The sequence below is a fragment of the Homo sapiens genome, chromosome 4 (assembly GCF_000001405.40).
Source record: "Homo sapiens chromosome 4, GRCh38.p14 Primary Assembly".
Classification (NCBI taxonomy): Eukaryota; Metazoa; Chordata; class Mammalia; order Primates; family Hominidae; genus Homo; species Homo sapiens.
Genome location: NC_000004.12, coordinates 186837756 through 186852255, shown reverse-complemented (window position 1 = coordinate 186852255; position 14500 = coordinate 186837756). Strand labels below are relative to the sequence as shown.

Genomic DNA, 14500 nt, shown 5'->3' with positions numbered 1-14500 from the left:
ATTATAGTAGACTCATTCCACCTATGTCATTTAGAGGACAACTCTGTGCTGCCTAAGTGAAGAATTACCTTCTGTGCCTGGGTTATAAAAGATTCCAATCTGTCTGGGCATGCCTAAGAAAGCTGAAGGCATGAGAATTTGGAAGCGTCTTGGAAAAGCTACCTAGCTTTGTGACCCATCTTACATGTATAAAACACAAAGTGAAAAGAGTAATTTGTCTTCCAGGATCTTCTTCATTCTCAAATACCACCCTGCTTTGACAATCTCAAAGGGTGTTGGTTATGAAGCCTGGTGAAGCAGCTGCTTGGCTCTATTGTGCCATCCAGGCAATAGCAGAGACTACAGTGTATGCTGGAATGGCTGCTGAGAAATATCCCAGTCTGACCTCAGTGCCAAAACTTGTTGCATCCCTCCAAAGCAACTGAGAGTCATTTTTCTCCTGGCCCTTGCGACTATGCAATTGAGTAGATATCTCTCTTCTCATTGACTGCTGGAAAGCTTAGAGTCAACTTTTGTTTCTGGCACTATTATAGACCAGATATTCTGGAAGAATCTGCCAACAAAAATGACTAAAATTTTGAATTAAGAAAAGAATTGCATTGCTGAGCTGGCAAAAAATATATATATAAAACCCACAGAGATCAAAAGTGAAGTGAAAGCAGAAATTCAAAAGTTAAGCATGTGCCAATGCCGGCTTTCCCTCTAGGACTTGTGCTGAGCCCTGAAGACATTGAGTTTCCACCATAACAACTGCAGCAGGTGTGAAGGACAAGAGATAAATATGTGCCCAAGGTGGGAAAGTAAATAGAAGGATACTCTACATGCTGCTGGGACATCAAAGATCTACATACTCTCAGCCTTAGGACAAATGAAAAATATGCCCACTTCACAGAAGTAGACAGCACAAAAATTTGCCTCTTTCAACCTCAGAGAAATGCAGAAGAGATCTTCAGAGCTGACACCATTGAAGTTCAAATTCACCTACCTATGTAATTCAGAAACCTTAAAGCAGAGAATTTTATTTTAAACAATCTAGCTGAAGAGTTTGTGTGCATAAGATGACTGAAAAAAGCAAATGCAAACTCTCTTCAGAGGAACATTACTTCAATCTAGATGCTAATGAATTTTCATAGTTAAAAAGAATATCATCCCCCACTAAAAAAGGTCACAAAACATCAAGGACACATGAAAACATACAGTAGAGTCAACCAAAACAACAGAAAGCAGAAAAGAACCACAAAAACTTCAGATATTGGAATTTTTTGATCCAGAATATAACATAATTATGTTTCTAACCATAAAGAAATTAAAAAGAAACTTGAAAACTGAGCCAGTAACATGAGAGTATTTAAAAAAAAGCATATTTTTAAAAAAATCAAATAGACGTTTTAGAAATTAAAAAACTCAGTGAACAGATTAAATAAAATAGATACAGTTGAAGAGACAATTGGTAAACTAGAAGATAGATCCAAAGAAACTATCCTGAATTCAGCTAATGAAATAAAAGAGAAAAATATCAAAAAGAGTTTAAGAGACCTGAAGAATAAAGCAGAAAGGTCTACCATATTTTCAACCAGAGTTCCAAAAAGGAGAGTAGTTGAAGAGGCAATGTTAAAGAGATAATGACAGAGCACCTTCTAAATGGTGACCTCCATGGGCAAAGTATATTGCAGCATCTTAGTGCTTGGTTCCTTTGGAGAATACCAGGATGATGATCAGATTCATTAAAAGTTATTTGTAATAAAGAAGAGATGGTTCCTCAATTCAGTGGCTGAACTGGTCTCAGAGGACCTCCCAGGAACCCCAGCAGGGCAGCAGGTATGGATGTCATGAGGTAGAAAAGCTTAAGTTAAGTGGCTTCAGAGGTCATACCTATACCATATAGCAGACCCAGAAAAACTCTGGGATAAGTCTGCCCAGACCTCAGAAAGGACATGATGAGAGTGACTGTCAGAAATTTTACTGCTAACAGCTTAGAACTCAAATTACAGATACAGTAATCCAAAATCCCTTGATTATACCTCCTTGGAGGAGTCAGGAAAGTAGAAGTTAAGAAGATGCTTGACCTCTTCTCTCTCACTTATTTGTCTTCTCTTTGCTATTCTTTATGCCTAAAACTCTCCTTAAAGTTTTCCCTAATAACCACTCATTTCCAAGTGCCCCTTGTATTGCATGCTCATTACAGCATTACTGCCCTACACAGAATCTTAATCTTCTCATAACCTATTTAACTGCCTGTTCCCTCCACTCATAACTTCAAACTTTACATTCCTACAAAATACAGATCTTATATTATTAGTATTTGTATCCTTAGACTCCATTAGGATCTAGTGCAATGCCTTGTATATAGTTCAACATACTTCCTAAATTAAAAAAAAAAATCAATTGCACACATACACACAGACACACACATAATTTCCTGATTTTTATTTTTATTTATGTATTTTTTTTGAGATGGAGTTTTGCTCTTGTTGCCCAGGCTGAAGTGCAATGGTGCAATCTCAGCTCACTGCAACCTCTACCTCCTGAGTTCAAGCAATTCTCCTGCCTCAGCCTCCCAAGTAGCTGGGATTACAGGCGCCCACCACCATGCCTGGCTAAATTTTTGTATTTTTAGAAGAGATGGAGTTTCACCATGTTGGCCAGGCTGGTCTCGAACTCCTGACCTCAGGTGATCCACCCACCTCGACCTCCTAAAATGCTGGGATTAGAGATGTCAGCCACTGTGCTGGCCTAATGTCTTTTAAACCTCTCTTTCACACACACAGATATATTCCTAGTCATCACACCCTAATGGGTCAAAAAGTTCAGACTTAGATCTTTGCCATAAGTGAAATACAATGAGAATTACATTGCTGAAAGTAAAAGTCAGAAAGGCTAAAGAATAGCACAAAAGACTGCAGCTAAAAGAATTAAATAAATTTTAACATTTCTTATACTTGTATTCTCATTTTGATTTCAATGATTTTACTAATAATTAGTTTTGCCTCCAAAATTATTTAACAGTGATTAGTATCCCTTATTTTCCAGGCTGCACAAATTTTATAAAACTTTTTCTTTTCAAATTTTTCTCCCCCAGGCCTCCACAGCTGGATGTGTTCTGCCTGCATGGAATCACATTAGTGCTTCCGTCATCTGGTGCTATCATTCAACCCAAATATTTTTCATTCAAAATTAACCCTGCACCAGATTCCTCATTAATTATAGCAGGACGTTTTGGAAAAGCTGATGCTGTTCTGGTATGAGATTTGGACTCCAAGAATAGAATTAGAAAAAAAATATATATAAAGATTATTATTCCCTACAACATTAAGCCATAAATCATTCCCCAAGAAAGTTAAAGAATATAATTAAGTAAAGTACATATTTATTATTTATTTTAGTAAGTTTTCATTTTGATATAATTTCAAACTTACCAAAAGGTGCAAAACTATTATGAAGTCTACTGTACACTTTACACAGGCTTACTATTGCTACCATTTGCTCCATCTTCATGAATCAATATCTCTCTCCCACTCCCCTCTGTCTCTCTCTCTCTCTCTCATTTGATAGATAGATGATAGATAGGTAGATAGATAGATGATATAGATAGATAGATAGATAGATAGATAGATAGATAGATAGATAGATAGATGATAGATGTTCTGAATCATATGAGATGAAGTTACAAGCATCATGCCCCTTTCCCCTTAAATTACTTCAGGACATATTTTCTAAGAACAAGGACATTCTCTTCTGTAACCACAGTACAATTATTAATATCAGAAAATTTAACATGGACACTATCTTATTAATATTGACATTGATCTTATCTATGATACATATTTGAATTTTTCCAATTGTCCCAATAATATCCTTTAATAGCTTTTTCCTCCAAGTCCAGGATCCGAGCCAGGTTCACACATTGCATGCGAGTCAGGTCATGCCTCTTCAGTCTTCTTTCATCCGGAATGGTTAGGTGGCCTTTCTTGGTGCTTCACGCTGTTATTTTATTTTTTTTATTATACTTTAAGTTTTAGGGTACATGTGCACATTGTGCAGGTTAGTTACATATGTATACATGTGCCATGCTGGTGCGCTGCACCCACTAACTCATCATCTAGCATTAGGTATATCTCCCAATGCTATCCCTCCCCCCTCCCCCCACCCCACAACAGTCCCCAGAGTGTGATATTCCCCTTCCTGTGTCCATGTGATCTCATTGTTCAATTCCCACCTATGAGTGAGAATATGCAGTGTTTGGTTTTTTATTCTTACTGAGAATGATGATTTCCAATTTCATCCATGTCCCAAAAAGGACATGAACTCATCATTTTTTATGGCTGCATAGTATTCCATGGTGTATATGTGCCACATTTTCTTAATCCAGTCTATCATTGTTGGACATTTGGGTTGGTTCCAAGTCTTTGCTATTGTGAATAATGCCGCTGTTATTTTTTAAGAGTAAAGGCCAGGTATTTTGTAGAATGTCCCTCAGATTGGGTCTGTCTGAAGTTCCTTCCTAATTATATTCAGAATATGCGCTCTTCTGGCAGAAATGCCACTGAAGGATGGGCATCTGACCAGGAAGCCCCTGAGGGCAGGCTGGCCCATTAACAATTGGCGATGTTAACTTTGAAAAGTGTGTATATAACCATATCAGTACATCTAGAGGTGAGGAATACCAACAGGTAGATTGTTATGAAAGCACACAAAATGTGAGCCAAGTATGAGAGATCTGTGGCATTCAGAGAGACAGCATATACTCACACCAGCTCCTTTCAGCAAATAGGCAAGAAGATATGTGAAATCTTAGAATTAGCATCAGGGAGAAATTGTTATGGAGAAATTTGGGGCATGGGGACATTTGCACATTAAGGAAAAACAAGTTGCTAATAGTTTCAGGGAGTGGATAATAAATTGCGGGCCATTTAAAAAAATAAGACAAATTTCATTTCCCCTAGGTTCTCTTCCCAGGACATCACTGGTAATTATGTTTATAAATCATAACTGGTTCCTGACAATGGAAATTTTGATCTGCTTCTGGCAAAAAAAAAAAGTAATTTCTTTTTAAGTTCCCTTTGGCTGAATAGCTTTTAATTTTAAAAGGGTTGTAGGAATATATCCTTATGACACAGCTTTTAGCAGCAAAATTAAAACATATGCAGGTCAACTTAAACAATAAGTAGATTTATATACATGCATGTAATAGCATATGTATACGTATTTCCAATGTATACACATATACAAAATGGAAAATTTGTTCCTTTCCATTAGTAAAAGTCACAACCCACAGAGCATTCACTCATCTAATGTCACCTTTGTTTCTGACCCTTCCCCATTCAGAGTTTCCACGTGTAATGGGCAACATTTTGGTTTAAGAATGAGACTCTGAAATCTTCCGTGGTAATTTTATCCCATCCCTGCAATTGGATACAGTACAATGCTATTTAGAGGAAAGTAGAAGGGAAGTTCAGTGCATTACAATGTGCAAACTATAATTTCAGTCCCAATTTTCAGAAATTGTTCCGTTAGAAAAAATAACTTCACTGGAAGATTCAGCCCTGCACTATTTTTACACAACTCTCTAGGCATGTAAACTTAAAAGGCCTGAATTGCACAAAGAAATGATTTTCTGTTTGTTTTGTTAAGAACTCAGTTCCCTTAGCACTCAAGTGGAGAATGAAGAGATTGTCCTTTTTTTTTTTTTTTTTTTAAGATGACACTGTGATATCCAGAAGTGAGACAGGAAATTATAGCATTTGCCATTCGTCCAGGACTTAATGAGGCTAACTCATGTGCAAGTCACCATTTTAGACTATGAGATCGAATTTTAAGAAGAACATCCCATCACTTGAGCTATTTAATATGTCCTAGGGATTGCAAAATACAATAAAAACAAATACTTTTTGGATAATATTGCCACACAATATTACAATTCACAAATAACTATGTGGAGGAAGTCACCTAAGAAAGACGATGTTCAGGCTGGGCGTGGTGGGCCACATCTGCAATCCCAGCACTTTGGGACCCAAAAGCAGGAGGATCATCTGAGGCCAGGAGTTTGAGACAAGCCTGAGCAACAGAGCAAGACCCCATCTCCATAAACATTTTAAAAATTAGCCGAGCATGGTGGTGCACGCCTGTAGTCCCAGCTACTTGGGAGGTCAAGGCAGTAAGTTCACTTGAATCCAGGAGGTCGAGCTTGCAGTGAGCTATGATCCCACCACTATACTCCAGCCTAGGCAGCAGAGTGACATCCTGTCTCTAAAAGGAAAAAAAAAATGTACAAAAGACATGGTGGGGAGGTAGGGGGGTGGGGATGTGGTCGAATGAGCTTTTGGTGTGTCTTGAGTTGAGAATCTTCCTAAACTTTTAATCCCCAGGGAAAGGAATTTTAAAAACATAGTTCTTTCTTAGACATCACTGAACAACCTGCCTTTTAAGGTCTGCCATGAGGTATAACACATGAAATTGTTCAAAGGTAAGGAAATAGAGCGTGACAGGTGAGAAAAACATCTAACACATTCCTTCTCTTCTCTAACAGGTTTTCCTTGTGTTAACTCCCTTCTTCCCCCTTTGCTGTGGTGTCTACACAATCGGGCACTTTCTCTTCCAAACGCTGAGCCCTCATAAGTGCTCCCTGACGGAGGACTTAACAGAGAAGCAGTTGAAAGTAGACTTGGCTTCTGGCTCCTAAGATGATAAGAAAACTTTGCCATTTCCCCTTCATGTCCACTAGCTTTATCAGATGGAAGAAATGAGTGAATGACTCACAGTCACTAGCAAATCACAGGCGGAGGAGGCAGGGGCTGCCTTAGAGCCCTGTGGACTTCAGCGTGGCCTTTTGTCTCCCATGCCACAGCCTGTGTGGGACACATGGCAGGGACATCAGGGAGGCAGCCACTCTTGGCCCGCTCATCACCACCATCCACGAGACTCCACAGGTTCCACGAGGGGCATTAAAAATAACCCTGTCTACATGGGAGGCCTTACAAGAGTGGTGACCAGCATGACTCATTTTTATCTCTGTGGAAAAAGGAGGAAGTTGTTTATGTGGAGGGTGCTGCCTGCTGTAACAGGTCAAGGCATAATGAGAGAGCTCCAAATATTTAAAAGAATGAGCAATAGAAAGCAGTTTCCCCATTGCATTTTTACATTTTAACAAAGGAATGTTGAGACTTAAAGCATTCATTTTTACTTTAAAGCAGTTTCCCAGGCTATAAACTTTGACAGGTTTTCACACAAGTAGCAGACACTAATTTGAAATAAAACTAAATTCCATGCTGCTTGAAGTGAGCTGAAATAGATAATTCCACATAGTTTAAGAATTAAAATGTGTTATTCTTGGGGTCATTGCATTCTTGCAAGGTGGAAATTATTACATAATATTTCTCTGTGACAGCCTCCTCTTTGGGGTCATGAAAATAACATTTACCTTAAATGATCCATGCCAACATCGCTATACAATCAATAGCAACACTGTGTGGTTTTGAATCAGATGTACTTCTGATAACTGCCGTATAAAATGCATGAGCCTCACTTTTCCAACCCAAAATGAAAGTCGACATAGAAAAACAGCAAAAGATGTCAACAGACTGAACTCACACAGAGGGGAAAAAAGGAAAAAAACTTAGACAATGAAGGGTTGGCTTTGAAGTGGTCCATTCTTTATTAAGCTAAGGGACAGCCTGAATCCCTAGCATAGTTTACTTAATCCAGGTCCTTAAAAAGTTTTGGATTCGATTCAGATATGGTGAGCTCCTAAGCTGAACATTTCCACAGCTGACATGACTTCCTGGCTAGTGAGCTCGGCATTAGAAATGTCTGCAGGATACAGTCCACAGTGGCACAGCACAGAAAACCGGCGCTCCTCCCTCCTATTCCCAGGCTCCTGAGTGATACAATCAAGAGGGAACTGGGATTTGTAAGAAAGAAACAGAATCGACCTCCCATTGTGAATTTAGCCTCTCAGTCAGATTTTGAGCAAAAGTAAAGCAACAAAAACAAAAGTGCCAAGGAAGAATCCAGCCCTTTGTGCAGTTTCTCTTTCAGTAACCCCTTCCCAGCAGGCTTGGTTATCACAATGAGAAGTTAGAGACAACAAAATTAGCTATCTTTGAAGGCTACGTATGTTATGATATATGAGCCAACTGAAAACTAATTAACAGTTAAAAACGATTAGGCTGTGGCCAGGCACAGTGGCTCACGCCTGTAATCTCAACACTTTGGGAAGCTGAGACGAGGGGAAGGACTACTTGAGGCCAGGAGTTTGAGGCCGCAGTGAGCTAGGAGCACTCCATCCTGGGTCACAAAGCAAGACCCTGTCTCTAAAATAATAATAATAATTAAGTAAATTGTATGCATCAATATGTAAAAAATAACCAAAAAATAACCAAGACATTGAAACATTAAGTGAAAAAAAAAAGCCCATTTCCAATTACAGAGGATAAAAAGTCCATTTGTGTGCAAAAAAAAAAAAAAGTGGAAAAACTACACATACATATTTTAAAGTTTCTGGTCTTCCAGAAACCATCGTAGTCACTTTGGGCCAGGGGTCTGCAGTAGAGGCACTATGATCACTCTGGTCCGGATAATGCTTTGCTGTGGGAGATTGTCCTGTGCGTGGTGGGCTATTCTGCAGCAACCCTGGGCCATTCACTAGATGCAGTAGCGGCGGTTCCCCACAGATGACCAGATATCTCCAGACATTGCCAAACATCCCCTAGGAGGCAAAATCCTCCCCAGTTGAGAACTGCTGCTCTGGGGAATGAGGCTGGAAGAGGAATTTTACTTTTCATCTCTCTTCCTCTGTCTCATTCGATTTATTCTCGTTTCTTTGTTTGATTTTACCATGAACATGTACTACTTCTATAAGGAAAAAAATTCTTTTTCTGAAAAAAGTTGGAGGGGGGAGTTTACAGATCCACCTCCAAACTCATATATAACTTGGACAAAATGAACTGATCACCATAAAAATACTCCATAAAGCTGTGTTACCATTTTGATTTATTTAGTAGTTTCATGTGGTACATTTACTCCACAGACCCTAAGGCTCTGTAAAAAACACACATTTCATGCAAAAATCACAAGCATTCTTATACACCAATAACAGACAAACAGACAGCCAAATCATGAGTGAACTCCCATTCACAATTGCTTCAAAGAGAATAAAATACCTAGGAATCCAACTTACAAGGGACGTGAAGGACCTCTTCAAGTAGAACTACAAACCACTGCTCGATAAAATAAAAGAGGATACAAACAGATGGAAGAACATTCCATGCTCATGGGTAAGAAGAATCAATATCATGAAAATGGCCATACTGCCCAAGGTAATTTATAGATTCAATGCCATCCCCATCAAGCTACCAATGACTTTCTTCACAGAATTGGAAAATACTACTTTAAAGTTCATATGGAACCAAAAAAGAGCCCGCATTGCCAAGTCAATCCTAAGCCAAAAGAACAAAGCTGGAGGCATCATGCTACCTGACTTCAAACTATACTACAAGGCTACAGTAACCAAAACAGCATGGTACTGGTACCAAAACAGAGATATAGACCAATGGAACAGAACAGAGCCCTCAGAAATAATGCCACATATCTACAACCATCTGATCTTTGACAAACCTGACAAAAACAAGCAATGGGGAAAGAATTCCCTATTTAATAAATGGTGCTGGGAAAACTGGCTAGCCATATGTAGAAAGCTGAAACTGGATCCCTTCCTTAAACCTTATACAAAAATTAATTCAAGTTGGATTAAAGACTTACATGTTAGACTTAAAACCATAAAAACCCTAGAAAAAAACCTAGGCAATACCATTCAGGACATAGGCATGGGCAAGGACTTCATGTCTAAAACACCAAAAGCAATGGCAACAAAAGCCAAAATTGACAAATCGGATCTAATTAAACCAAAGAGCTTCTGCACAGCAAAAGAAACTACCATCAGAGTGAACAAGCAACCTACAGAATGGGAGAAAATTTTTGCAATCTACTCAGACAAAGGGCTAATATCCAGAATCTACAATGAACTCAAACAAATTTACAAGAAAAAAACAAACAACCCCATCAACAAGTAGGTGAAGGATATGAACAGACACTTCTCAAAAGAAGACATTTATGCAGCCAAAAAACACATGAAAAAATGCTCATCATCACTGGCCATCAGAGAAATGCAAATCAAAACCACAATGAGATACCATCTCACACCAGTTAGAATGGCGATCATTAAAAAGTCAGGAAACAACAGGTGCTGGAGAGGATGTGGAGAAATAGGAACACTTTTACACTGTTGGTGGGACTGTAAACTAGTTCAACCATTGTGGAAGTCAGTGTGGCGATTCCTCAGGGATCTAGAACTAGAAATACCATTTGACCCAGCCATCCCATTACTGGGTATATACCCAAAGGATTATAAATCATGCTGCTATAAAGACACATGCACACGTATTTTTATTGTGGCACTATTCACAATAGCAAAGACTTGGAACCAACCCAAATGTCCAACAATGATAGACTGGATTAAGAAAATTTGGCACATATACACCATGGAATACTATGCAGCTATAAAAAATGATGAGTTTATGTCCTTTGTAGGGACATGGATGAAGCTGGAAACCATCATCCTCAGCAAACTATCACAAGAACAAGGAACCAAACACTGCATGTTCTCACTCATAGGTGGGAATTGAACAATGAGAACACATGGACACAGGAAGGGGAACATCACACACCGGGGCCTGTTGTGGGGTGGGGGGAGGGGGGAGGGATAGCATTAGGAGATATACCTAATGTAAATGGCGAGTTAATGGGTGCAGCACACAACATGGCACATGTATACATATGTAACAAACCTGCACGTTGTGCACATGTACCCTAGAACTTAAAGTATATAAAAAAAAGAAAAATTTCAGAAAACACATTTCTAAAATTTTTATCGCCAAAGAATGACTGCAGCAAAACCGGTGGGGAAAGGGACAGCCAAATCAGGCTATTTAATGCATGCGACAAGCATTCACTTCCGGGGTGAAGAATTCCTTTCCGGCCTACAGACCCCGCCCTCACAAAACTGCGGGCAAGTGAAGCGTGCTTCAGCCTCTTCCTCCCCGCGCCTGTCAGTTCACTCTCACTCGCTCATTCACTGCAGCATGAGCATGCCGAGGACCGTGCCAGATCCTGGGTTCCTCGGGGCAGTGAGGGGCCGGATTAATCTATGCCTCCGTCCTTACCCGTGACCTGTGCACTTGAACATCCTATTCCAAGACAGAAAAGTACTCACGGGGTAGCTCCAGGGACCAGCAGCTCCGGCAGGGACCCCCAGGGAACAGGGCTGCCTGCCAACTGGGACCCCAAAGGCTGCTGGTGAGCCCAGGGCAAGGCCGCTGCACCTGCGCCAGGGATGCTTGAAATCCACCGAAAGGGGACAGCCACGTGCTTCCCCTCAGGGATGGAGAGCCTGAGTTGGGTGTGGACCTCAACACTTCCTGAAAGTGAAAACTGAAAGTGTTTGGACAAACTGAGGAGAAAGTGAGCAACACACCAAAAAGAGCGGTGATGGGGAGGGGAGAAAGAAGGGAGGAGAGAAGGAGTCGGGGGAGGAAGGGAGAAGAGGGAGGGAGGAGGAGGGGGAGAAGGAGAGGGAGGGAGAGGAGCGGGAGGGGGAAGAAGGGGGAAAGAAGAGGAGGGAGAGGGAGGAGAAGGAGGGGAAGGGGGGAGGGAGAAGGAGGAGAGAAGGAGAGGGAGTGGGGAGGAGAAGGAGGCGGGAGGAAGGCGAGGGGTGGGAGATGGAAAGTGGAGAGGACTGGGGAGGGGAGAAGGAGGCAGAGTGGGAGGGGAGAACTTTCAATAAAGTTGCACAAGCTCATTGAAGGAGGAGAAGGAGGGGGAGGGAGGAGGATGGGGAGGGAGATGGAGCGGGGTCGAGAGACAGCAGTAGGAGAGAAAGCAGTCCAGAAGGAAGGGTCCTGGGGAAATGGGCATCACAGTGTCTCCTGGCAGGAGGGTGGTGGGTAAGGAATTTCGACAGTGGACTTGGATAGATTGGGAAGGGCCTCAAGGTAAAGGGTGTTTTCCTACATCCCGGAACAAGTAGTGAGTTGTAAGGACAGGGTTGATAAACTCCCACTCAGGAAAGTTAGAGACATGAAGAAGTAGGTTCCACTGTTTAAAAAAAAAAAAAAAAAGTCGTATATGTCTTATTCAAGTCACCCTATTTTAATTTCATAGTCATCCATTATTCCGTCTCTGCTTTCCTCAGCCTTCAGCCAAGCGGTGACTCTCCCTCTCCCAGTTCCGTGGGTGGCTGGGGTCATGGGGGTGTTCTGTGGCTTCCCTCCCTCTCTCCCACCTCTCTGTTTTTCAGAGTGTGGCCCTCTTTACCCCACTCCGTAAAAGACACTGTCATACATGAACGCCGTCTGTGTGTGGCCCTGGAGCCCCTCCAGCCAGATACTAACAGCCACAGCCAGAAAAGGCAAAACATGGATTATAAACTTCAGTGTTAATGTTAGGACTAGCAGTGGCCATGGTGCTTACGCTATTTCTTCTGAAACAGGAACAGAAAGAATAAATGTTCTGGGTTTTTATGAAATGAGTCATCATTGGCAAAAAATTTCTGATCGTTGTATTGCAAGTCATTTGTATTAACTTCTGAAAATATCTGTTTTCTTAATACGTGAAAAAGCATAAAATCAAGAATTTGCCATTTAAAAAATAGACAATACTTTCCGCCCCCCCTTTAAATCCTATTTATGGCAACATTTAAATGACTTACCACAAATTGAAGTGTTAAGAATTATGAAAGAGCCAACTGGAGGCTCCCTTATATCACTGCTCCTATTCTGAAAGAAATGGAGCTCTTTCAGCCATTTTCAGTATTTCCAAGAGTTAAACAGAAATCATAAGTTCACTTTCAATAAAGTTGCACAAGCTAATTGAAATGTCAAGCATTGATTCTGCCTGGGATTGTATTAATGTAATGTGGCAACACCGCTTATCTCTTGCAGATCAAGATTTCTGTTAGAGAGAAAAGAGAAGAGAAGGGAAAAAGGAAGAAGAGAGGGAGAGAAAGAGAAAAGGAGCAAGATTTAGCTCTAGACTTGAGCCAATCTGTTACATTAAGCAATTTTAATCTCAGTAGGTCTGTTTTCTCATCTGTAATTTGGGCACAATCCTGACTTCATGGTGCTCCAGTGAGCTTTGGGAATAATCCATGTTAGCACTCATAGCGTGGAATCACCAACATTTTTTGAGTGCTTACTATGTCCTAGGCCCTGTTCTAGGTGCTTTTCATGGATTCATTAAAAAAATCATGAATTTGGCACACGTATTATCCTCCTCTTAGAATGAGGAAATTGAGATACAGAGCAGTTTGTAAGAACTTATGTGTAAGTCCACACAGCTAATGAACTGGGGTTCTAACCAAGGTAATCCGGTTAAGAGCCCATGCTCTTTGCTGCAAATCCATGTCCTTAACCACACTGTACTGTTACCTTAATAGGAGAAATATGAAGCTATTGTGTGATCAATTCTGTCAGTACTATTATTCCATGTCACTTTTATTAAAAATGAGAAAAAGAAATTGCTATCAAATAAATATATCATGTTTAGTAGACAAAACTTTTCAAATCTCAGGATCTGTGGTGGTAAAATGGTTGGTAATCATTGCACTGTAATGGGGAATTTGACATTTTATAGTCAGTCATTAATTTAGCTACTAGGATGACTCTGATATAAATGGACTTCCTATCATTCATTCATTTTTTCAATCATTCATTCATTCACCAACTACATGTCAAGCACTGCACTATATGCTGTTATGTGAACAGATCGCTATGTCATCAAGTCAAATACAGTGTTATTCTGAAACCACAATGTACTTGTAATTTATGTTTTAATACTCGTTAAATAACAAAACATAGATTCCTAAGTGTATGCTCTGAAATCACAAATCCTGCATTTGATGTACTTTTCCATTTGGTTTGTGTTACTAATTTTTAATTTACTTACGTGCCATTACACAAAAAAAATGTATTTTCGCAAACACACAAAAGGTCTCATGCTACCTCTGAGAAGATTTAATGAATTAATGTATTGCAAACGAATTAATGTAATACAAATAAATAAGAAAAAATTATCCCCAAATAATCCTTACATACAATGGATTTTAAAACAAAAAATACATAAGGCATAGGTCCTAATACACAGTTCTTATAAATCAACTTGGAAATTTTTTTTTTAAGTAAAAAATTTCTAACTACAACCAATTAGAATGCAATTAGCTGCAGTGGATAGCACATTTCCAATTGTCCAACAGTAAGTTATTCGGTTGACAGGTTAACCATGCTCCTTGTGCCGCCATTTTCTCATTTTCTGCTTCCCTGAATCTCTTCCTTTAGCCTAGTGCCTTTCATGAATGTGTAAAGATAAGAGCCTGCAAGAACAGAGTTTTGAGGTGGAACTCGTTGAGACACTTTGGCTCCTCGTTAGCAGTTCTTACAGGAAATAGCCCAGT

General features: G+C 40.0%; 2 long non-coding RNA genes across 7 annotated transcripts in view; one reads left to right on the top strand and one right to left on the bottom strand.

Moving 5' to 3' along the window:
• The window catches only part of LOC102723906 (uncharacterized), a 220555-nt gene extending 208961 nt beyond the window's left edge, over positions 1–11594 (bottom strand). For all 6 annotated transcript variants that reach the window (XR_007058501.1, XR_007058502.1, XR_002959826.2 and 3 more), the window contains exon 1: positions 11267–11594. This is a non-coding gene — a long non-coding RNA (uncharacterized LOC102723906). The remainder of the gene's footprint in view (positions 1–11266) is intronic.
• Positions 11438–13860, top strand: LOC124900877 (uncharacterized). The gene is made up of 2 exons (XR_007058506.1): positions 11438–11514; positions 12993–13860. It is a non-coding gene; the product is annotated as an uncharacterized LOC124900877 (long non-coding RNA).
• The last annotated feature ends 640 nt before the right edge of the window (positions 13861–14500 follow it).